Raw genomic sequence first — 9,937 nt, 5'->3', positions numbered from 1 at the left:
AGATTGGGGTACCTAAAGGCAACATATCCTCAAACATTCTCCTCTTCTTTCCCTTCCCAATTTTTGGTTAATGGCACCATAGTTCACCTAGGTGCTCAAACTGGGAAACTGTGAGTCACCATGGCAACCCCTTTCCACCAAGTCTCCACATCCGGGTGGTAACTGTCTTTTTCTGTCTATTCTACCTTTTTAGTAGCCCCTGAATTTATCTCTTCTCTATTTTTACTGCCACTGCCACATTCAAGCCCTCATCATTTCTCACATGAATTCTAACTGATGCCTATATTTTCTCGCCCTTCCAACTTCTTAGCTATACTTTGGCTAAAGTGCCCTTTCTAAAGTGCAAATCTGACCATGTCTTTCTCTCTCACATTTGTCATCCCAAGTCTTGTCATCATTTACAAGAAAAAGCTAAAATGTTTTAGTTCAGTCTGGCCTTCATTCCAGCCTTATCTGTCACTCCTCTACAGCATCTTGTGTTTTCAGCCATGTTAGAGGAGTCATGATCCTTCCAACGATCCTCTCTGTCTTTATATATTATGTTCTGGAATGCTTTTCCTCTGTTCTTCATTCAGAAAGCTTCTGGGCTTACTTTAAGATTCAATTCAAATGTAGCTTCCTTTAGGAGGCTTCTTTGAGCTCCGAATGCAGTTAAGCACACTCTTTTCTGTGCTTCCATAGTGCCCTGTTTGTGTTTGTAACATGCCATATACCTCACATTGCTCTAATTCTTAGTTTATGTAGTTCTCTCCCTAAAACTTGTTTTCTGGAAGACCAAAAAGCACTCTACTCATCTTTACATCCCTGGTGCCTAGGATATAGCCAACAAATCTATAGAGCCACACTATACACCATGTGTTATGGGAGGTGCCGGGTTACAAAGATAAATAATACCGCTAGCACAGGGCTTGGTATATGCTATGGTATATATGCTATGGATGGTATAACCTATCCATGCTCAAATCTACACATCTATCCTTTCATCTATCCATTCCATCAATACTTGTTGAGTGCCCACTAAGAGCCAACACTGTATTCTCTAATGATGAGCAAAATAATGTGATCTCTGCTCTCGCGAAGCTTATAATCTACTAAGATAAAGAGATGTTAAAAGAGTAAGCACGTAAATAAATTATTGCAAACTATGAAAAGCCTATGAAGGGCAAGAACAGAATATTATAAAAGGGAACATGATATAGGGAACCTTTGTAGATTGTGTGTTTGGTAAATCAGTGAATGAAATAAAACAAAGTTGTAAATGGTTGTTCCGGAGGAAGCATGTTCCTTTGTCTCTAGCACATAAGAGGCCAGCTGTTTCCAGGAACTAAATGTTCATAGCTGGCTGAGGCTTCTGAGAGATGGAGACTACTTTCTTTAGGGCCAAGTCCCTCTTTCACAGAACTGGTAAAAACACAGCTGTGGCCAAAAGAAGAAAGAAGAAGCGTGTCTTGTGGCTCCTTTCCCTGAGGTTTGAGTCAATAAAGAGTACAATAGGATCAGAGGGGATTTTCCCAGAAAGGTAGGAAACTACTAAGAACTGAGGCTATTAGTTGGTCTACAATAGGATTTCTTTACTTTAGGACTCTATTCTTTCCCTTTATCTTTACTTATTTTACTGAAGACATACTCTGTCGACTAGTTCAGCATCCTGGCTTTATGTAACTTTTTCTTGCTGCTAAGTGTTTGCTATTTGATTTTTTTCTATTTCTTTTTCATTTTCCTTCTACCTATTAAATCTTTTATCTTTCTGTTTTAAGCTTGCTTTACTTCACCATGAGTCCTTGTTTCTAGACTTTAAGAATTTAAATTCTGTTTTATGCTCTTATAAAATTTTACTATTAAATTTATGATTTGTATTTCTACTTTTTTTGCTTACTTTAATGCTTTAACTCTTTAGCTGTGGTTTCTACTCATATCTTATATATTTTAATGTACTTTAACTCTGTTACTTAAAAATTCTTCATTCTTAAAAATTTTTATTGGGTTTTTAATTATTTTAGCTTAATTTTTATTGATTTTGTATTTAATTTCTTTTAGTTTTTAAAATTAGACTTTCTGAATATAAAGAAATGTTTGTTCATTAATATAATTTATAATATATAAAAGTACAAGAAAGAAGGTAAAAATTATCTGTAATTCCACCATCCTGAGATAACCAGTTAAGATAATATATGTGAATATATCCTATATATTACTATGGGGGATATATTATATACACACATATACACACATATGTATATATGTGTGTGTTTTAACCATAAGATTAGTGTTATATTGGAGCTTTGTGTGCTTGCATCAGACTGCTTTGGTGAGTTAAATGTAGGTTGAATTTCCACAAAGTCTTCTGGGTAGAGGATATCCAGGAGCAATTTGGGACCATCTGGAAGCTTTAGGGGTATTTACTTGATGGTAATATTGAACTGTTGCATAAAGTTCAATCCACTAGCCTGCTGTGATCTGAGTTATCATGTCTAGATAAGCTTCTCCAGTGCATATGATAGTGTGAGCATGTTGTCCATGTATTCATGGGCTGTTCAAGATAATGCTTTCAAAAGGAAGAGACTCCCATCAGATCAGATTCCATAAGACATAGGTACAGTAGTAGAAGTTTTCAGGAGCTAGAATCCTGGAGGTAGAGGCATCTCTCTTGCCAATGTTGGAAGGATCTGGCTGTTGGTGGGGGTAAGCCAGGACCAGGACAAAGGTAAATCAGTTCTTTAGCTTTTCTGTTAATTTCTTATGGCTGCTGTAACAAATTGCCAAAAATTTTGTGGCTTAAAACAATACAAATTTATTGTTATAGTTCTAGGGGCCAGAAGTCTGAAATCAGTTTAACTGGGCTTAAGTCAAGGTGTAGGAAGGGCTAGCTCTTTTTGGAGGCTCTAGGGAAGAATCTATCCTTTTCCTCTTCAAGATTGTAGAGGCTGTTGGCATTGGCTTGATTGGAAGCATCACTCTAATCTCTCTCTCTCTCTCTCTCTTATTTTTTTTTTTATTTTTTGAGATGGAGTCTTGCACTGCTGCCCAGGCTGGAGTGCAGTGGCACAGTCTCAACTCACTGAAACCTCTGCCTCCGGGTTCAAGTGATTCTCCTGCCTCAGCCTCTCGAGTGGCGGGGACTACAGGCGCACACCACTACATTTGGCTAATTTTTGTACTTTTTATTAGAGATGGGTTTTCACCATGTTGGCCAGGCTGGTCTCAAACTCCTGACCTTGGGTGACTCACCTGCCTCAGCCTCCCAAAGTGCTGGGATTATAGGCATGAGCCACCGTGCCTGGCCAACTCTAATCTTTCTCTCCTTCAGTTGTCATCTTCTATCTCACTTATCTCCTGTCTCTCTCTTATAAGGAGAGTTATATGGCCTTTGGGGAGATATAGTTTTGTAAAAGCCTGTGTCTCATCAAGCTAACAACTGAGAGAGCAGGCTGAAGAGCAGTGGTGTGGGTAATGGTTACAAAATGCTATGGTGGTCCTTATATAGAGCTCACCATTCTTTTTTTTTTTTTTTTTTTGATAAAGTCTTACTTCATTGCCCACACTGGAGTGCAGTGGCATGATCATGGCTCACTGCAGCCTCAATCTCTTGGGCTCAGGTGATCCTCCCACCTCAGCCTCCCAAGTAGCTGGGACCACAGGTGTTCAATGACACCTGGCTAATATTTTTTTTTTTTCTGTAGAGTTGGGATTTTGCCATGTTGCCCAGGCTGCTCAGAGCTCCCCATTCTTTTGTGTGAAGAACATCACAGCTTCTGCAAGGAAAGTGCGAGGGACCTCTGCCTCAATTTGATATCCATTATGTTATTGTGAAGAGTATCAGCTCTGAGAAAGGAAAATGAACTCTTGGGATTCAGCTATGACATCAGCAGAATAGCTATTCTATGATGGGGGTTGGTGTGAGGAACAACCAGTTGCTCTTTATGTCAGTAAATGATACATACATCCAGCCAGAAACTTGGAATCACCTTTGACTTCTGCTTTTCCTTTCACTGCTAATAAATCATCAAGAACTGTCAATGCAAATCCCCATATATAATATTAACACATCCACTTCTCTTCAATTCTACTATCCTTGTCTTGGCTTAAGTAAGATTTCATAAACATTTCTGCAACAGCCTACTCATTTCTCCTTTATATTCATCTCACCACCATTATTCTACCCTCTACAGTAAAATGAGACTTCATATCACTCCCTGGGTCAGTTGGAGTCCTCTGGAAAACAAATGGTAAGACAAAACTAGAAGTGAGAGAGATTTATTGGAGGAGAAAATACCTGTGAAAGACAAAGGGAAGAGGAGGAGTGTATGGGGAGAGCCTCAGACCATGTTATAGAAAAGGGGGAGGGAGCAAGGAGAATTAGGTAGAAAGCACCTTGGATGCCAGCACACTTTTGAGAAACTCTTGGCTACCCTGATGGAGAAGTAGATGGCCTGTGAGAGGAGTCCCGTGTTGGGCAGCAATGGCCTGGCTCTAATACCTTCATTGCATTGTGCTTAGTCATTGGCTGGAAGCAGCCCAAGGGAAGCATGACCTCAGCATGCACACTACAGAGGAACCAGAAGGTGCACAGCTGGAAGAAGCTGTTAGCTGACTATGCTCCTCGCAACTGGTCCTCTTTTGGAGGATGATTTGAATGATGCATCCTATGGCTACCACACTCCCCTTTTTAGAACCCCTCAGTTGCTTCCCTTTTGAATCCTTAACATGGCTCACAATCTCTGACTCTTGTCTATCTCTCCAGCCTCATTTCAATTTTTCCCTTCTATTCCGCATTTCAGCCAATGAACTTCCTTCTGTTTTTTTGTATTCCCTACTATCTCTTTCCTTTGGGCAAGACCCTCTGCCTGAAATACTCTTTTCTCTTCTCATTTAGGTAACTCTTAGTCTTTCCCTGTGTTTCTGCCTAGATGTCCTGCCTTCTAGAAAGTAGTATAGCTTTCTACTTACGCTACTTCTACTTATTCATCTATTTATCCATTCATCAACCCAATCTGTTTTAAAAGTAAAACATGCTTATGGTAAAAACAAACATCAACAGCAAAGCAAAGTTCATCCTTTTCACCATTCTGATTTCAGTCTAGTAGGTACCATTATAAATTCTACTTTTATGTCTGTTGTTTTATAAAATTTAGTTTGTATCAGCTTTATACTATGAAAGGTCAAGAATTTAGTGGACTTATATTCATCCCACCTCCTTTTTCTTTCTTCACCTCTATGCTTTACTTAGGTATGTCAACCTAAATAACAGAGTCTCTCTAAAATAAAAAGATATTTATTTGGGAATAGGGCATTACAATGGAATACATGTGCCACAGTAAACTGTGTTTGTATTTAGGAAGGCAAAGGATGACAAAGGTTTTTTTGTTTGTTTGTTTTTTTTTTTTTTTTTTGAGACGTTCTCTTGCCCAGATTGGAGTGCAGTGGTGCGATCTCGGCTCACTGCAACCTCTGCCTCCCTGGTTGAAGCAATTCTCTCCCTCAGTCTCCTGAGTAGCTGAGATTACAGGCACCCGCCACAACACCCGGCTAATTTTTTGTATTTTTAGTAGAGACGGGGTTTCACCATGTTGGCCAGGCTGGTCTTGAACTCCTGAACTCGTGATCCACCCACCTCGGCCTCTCAAAATGCTGGGATTACAGGAGTGAGCCACCGCGCCCAGCCTGACAAAGGTTTTTAAAGGAAAAAGTGAAGAAGATTACATAATTGTTTTGAAATAATTATCCTTGGCTACAAAGATCAATAATAAGGGTGTTGCCAGTCCGAGTTTAGATAGGCAGCTGCTGGGCAGATGTCCTGGCATAAGTTTTTTTTGTGTATAAGGTTGCAATGGCCTTTGTCTGAAATTGTGGTTTTTGTAGCATCTTTTTTTGCCATCAGGCAGGCATACAAATGTGAGAGCCCTTTCTTTATGGCCTTCCTGGGCTCTATTAGTCAAAGTTTTCTTAACATTAGTGACTCCATTTTGATTCTGACAGCTTTCACAGGTATGTGTTTACCTATTTTAATGTTTACCTTTATACATTTGTGATATTCTGTATTTCTATTTGCTAACTCATTGCTCTATAAAATGGAGAAATAAGTACACCTTGATTTCCCCTGCATACACCTCTCCTCTTCTTTCTTCCTTTTGTCTTCTATTAACTGTGACAGTACTTGTATATTATAAGGCTTTTATTATTTTCTTTCTAGTCTACAGAAAGTGTAATTAAGTTTTCCATGCTTTTCCTATAATTAACTACAAATGGAAAAGCAGTAAATTGCATTTACAATATTGAGTAAGTAAATATTACACATTGAAGAAACAAATGGTATGATTGGACTCATAAAGACAGAAATGTTCATGGAATAAATCTACCCCTTTAGAATGAGAATGTTCTGAATATTCTCTTTTCTTTCACTCCAAAAAATGGCTCATCATTGAGTTCTCAATTGCTTTTCTTTTTTCTTGTTTCCAGGGGAAATACACGCCATCATTTTACTATTAAGAACTTCAGGGTTTTAATCATACAATTCGAACAATAGAATCTTTCTCTTTTGATGACATTTTTTCATGGAATGTTCTGATTTTCTGTTTTAATTTCATAGACATGCTGTTGTCCTGAAATGGCCTGACCCCCAGGTTAGTGCCACTCTTTCTAGGATCTGACGCTTCCCTCTTTCTTGACTTCCTTTTTCATTTTATTGTAGTATATCCTCAAGCATTTTTTTTTTCAAAGAGGCTACATGGGACATAAATTTTCTGAGTGCCTGACCAACAGAGTGGCACTGTTGTGTAGTAGTTAAGAGTGTAGAGTCTGCAGCCAAACTTCCTGGATTCAAAACCCAACTCTGCCTTCTACGAGTGGCATGATCTTTGGCAGGTTTCTCAACTTCTCTATACTTCTGGTTTTTCATTTGTAAAACCAGTGATAATAATAGTACCGAACTAGCTGGGCTGTTCTGAGTATAAAATAAATAAGTTAATAATTGCAACGAGCATGGAGATACAACTGGCTCATAGTAAGAGTTCATTAAATATTAGCCATTACTATAAACCTGAAAATGCCATGATTTTCCCTCACCTTTAACTAATAGTTAATCTGAGTATAAGATTCTAGATTTGAAATCATTTTCTCTTAAGTTTTGTGGAAACTCATGTGTTGCTCTTCAGATGCTTAATTCTATTTCCTTTGTGGGTAGTCTGCTTTTAAATGTTTTAACCATTCTGAGATATTTTAGCATTTTCTCTTTTTTACTTTATTTTATTTTTAGGCGACAGGGTCTCGCTCTGTCACCCAGGCTGGAGTGCAGTGGCGTGATCATAGCCCACTACAGCTGCCATCTCTCAAGCGATCCTCCCACCTCAGCCTCCTGAATAGCTGGGACTACAGGAATGCACCACCATGCCCAGCTAATTTTTTAATTTTTGTTTTTAGTAGATATGAGGTCTTACTATGTTGCTCAGGCTGGTCTCAAGCTCCTGAGCTCAAGCAATCCTCCTGCCTTGGCCTCACAAAATGCTGGGATTCAGGCGTGAGGCACCATACCCAAGCAGCATTTTCTCTTTATACTCAAAGTTCTAAAATTTCACCAGGATATGTCTAGGTGTAGTGTTTTCCTTTTATATTCATTAATGCTCAGAGAACTCTTTCATTTTGAGGATTCTAGCTTTTCTCCCAGGGACATTTTATTCTATTAATATATGTACAGTCTCCATTATATTATTTGTGCTTTCTTTTATAGTAATATCTAACATTTTCATAACTTTGTTTTCTTTCTTTATTCTTTTTTTTTTTTTTTTTTTAGAGAGATGGGCTGTCAGCATATCGCACAGGCTGAGGCCAGAGGATGACTTGAGGACAGGAATTCTCATGTGATCCTCCTGCCTCAGCCTCCCAAGTAGCTGGGATTACAGGTGCAAGTCATTTCATCTGGTTACAACTTTATTTACAAGATCACTAATTTGAGCTTTAACCTTGTTTATTATGTTCTTTTTGTTTGTTTTGAGACAGAGTCTCACTCTATCACCCAGGCTGGAGCTGGAGTGCAGGGGTGTGATCACAGCTCACTGCAACCTCAAACTCCTGAGCTCAGGCAATCCTCCCACCTCAACCTCCTGACTAGCTGGGACTATAGGTGCTTGCCACCATACTGGCTCATTCTGTTAATTCTATAATTTAGCTGTTCTATTTTTTTCTTTTAACAATCATATTTTGAGGCCTCTTCTTTTCTTTTTTTTTTTTTAAGACAGGGTCTCACTGCATCACCCAGGTTGGAGTGCAGTGGCACAATCACGGCTACTGCAACCTAAACCTCTGGGCTCAAGCGATCCTTCCACCTTAACCTCCTGAGTAGCTGGGACGACAGGTAAGTTTTACCACACCTGGCTAATTTTCAAATTTTTTGTAGAGATGGGGTTCTTGCTATGTTGCCCAGACTGGTCTCAAGCTCCTGGACTCAAGCAATCCTCTTGCCTTGGCCTTCCAAAGTGCTGAGATTACAGATGTGACTGACTGTGCCACTTATTTTCTTATTGATCTTTTAATAGCAGCCTATTTTTGTTCTAATCTTGCAATATCTTCCTAAATCTCCTTGAGAATACTATCTTTAATTTACAAAGGTTTTTTTTCTATTCCTTGCATCATCTCTTTCTTCTGAATTAATTGTTTGTTGCTTATTGATATTGATATTGATCTTTTTCTTTTTGTTATTAGTTTTCCTCAAAAGGACCATGTTAATTAGTATAGGTGGGCAGCTGAGCTTGCTTTACAGTTGTATAGATCTGATTACCCAACAACCTTCTTCCCTGACAAGCAGAGTTCTTTGGGCAAGAGGGTAGTTCCAGTGGATGCAGGCATCTCTTATAGTTCATAGACAGGGAGGCAATTGCCAATCAGCAAGGAGGGCTTGACTCTTGGGGATGAGCTGATTCTAGCTCAGTCAATCAGTGTTCTAGAGCCTCTAGATTCAGCACACATGCTATGTTCTCTTGATTTTTGTTTTGGCGGTCCACTTTAGGCTCTTTTCTACTTTTTCTCCAGTCCCAACAGCCATACCCAGTAGAAATGAAAATGCTCAACTGGCTGCTCTCTGCTCATATGAGAGGAAGTTGAGGAGCTTAGTGGTTCCTCAAAATTTTTGCCGTTCAGCCCAAACATCTTGATCTTTGTACCTGCTGACTGTGAACTTGGATTCTCTAGAAGCCTACTCTGGAAGAATGTCTCCTACCTCCTCTGTAGTTTTATTCTATGAGCATTTGGAATCATGATTTCTTCTCTTTGTTTTCTCTGACCATTTGAGCCCATTTGCATTCCAACTTCTAGAAAAACATAATTTCTTACCTGCTGAAGGCACGCTTTATTCCATGGATTTATTCCATTTCACATTATTCCTGAAATTGAATCAGGTCATGAGAGAGTTGGAAAATGTATGCTCATTCACTCATCTTGAGCCAGAACTTTCACACTAATTTTAAAAAATTAATCTTTAAAATCTATTTAATCTTTTGAATAGATAATACATAATACATTCACATCAATCAAAATCACAAGATATAAAAAGGTACTGAATGGAATAGGAAATGATTGCTCCACACTGGTAGTAAGCGTATATGCACGGGCTCCATGGCAACAGTGCAGACAAGAGCATCAGCTTCAGGGCAACCTGTGCTCCTCCTTCTGGACAGCGCTCAGCTCTACACAGTCTCAACAGCTGCAGCTTCACAACAGCATGAACCACGTTAATTAATACAATATACATGCATTGGAGAATATAGACCATTTCTCTGACTATACGCAAGAAAAACTTATCTGGCTGATTAATTCACTAACTGTAAGTAACTTATACAGACTAGTTGGTTTGCAAGTTTGAGGTGTGTGTGTGTGTGTGTGTGTGTGTATAAAGATAAATGTATATATAGTGTTATAAATGCATAGCTCTAAATTATGTACTTTTATA

At 38.8% G+C, this 9,937-nt stretch overlaps 1 annotated feature.

Moving 5' to 3' along the window:
* Positions 9,571-9,660: a silencer, noted in NCBI's record as "silent region_4374". NCBI's record gives its function as "represses an Ori minimal core promoter by ATAC-STARR-seq in GM12878 lymphoblastoid cells {active_cell/tissue: GM12878}" and the evidence as "EXISTENCE:reporter gene assay evidence [ECO:0000049][PMID:35858748]".

The sequence above is a fragment of the Homo sapiens genome, chromosome 12 (assembly GCF_000001405.40).
Source record: "Homo sapiens chromosome 12, GRCh38.p14 Primary Assembly".
Classification (NCBI taxonomy): Eukaryota; Metazoa; Chordata; class Mammalia; order Primates; family Hominidae; genus Homo; species Homo sapiens.
This window is presented reverse-complemented; position numbering and strand designations above follow the sequence as displayed.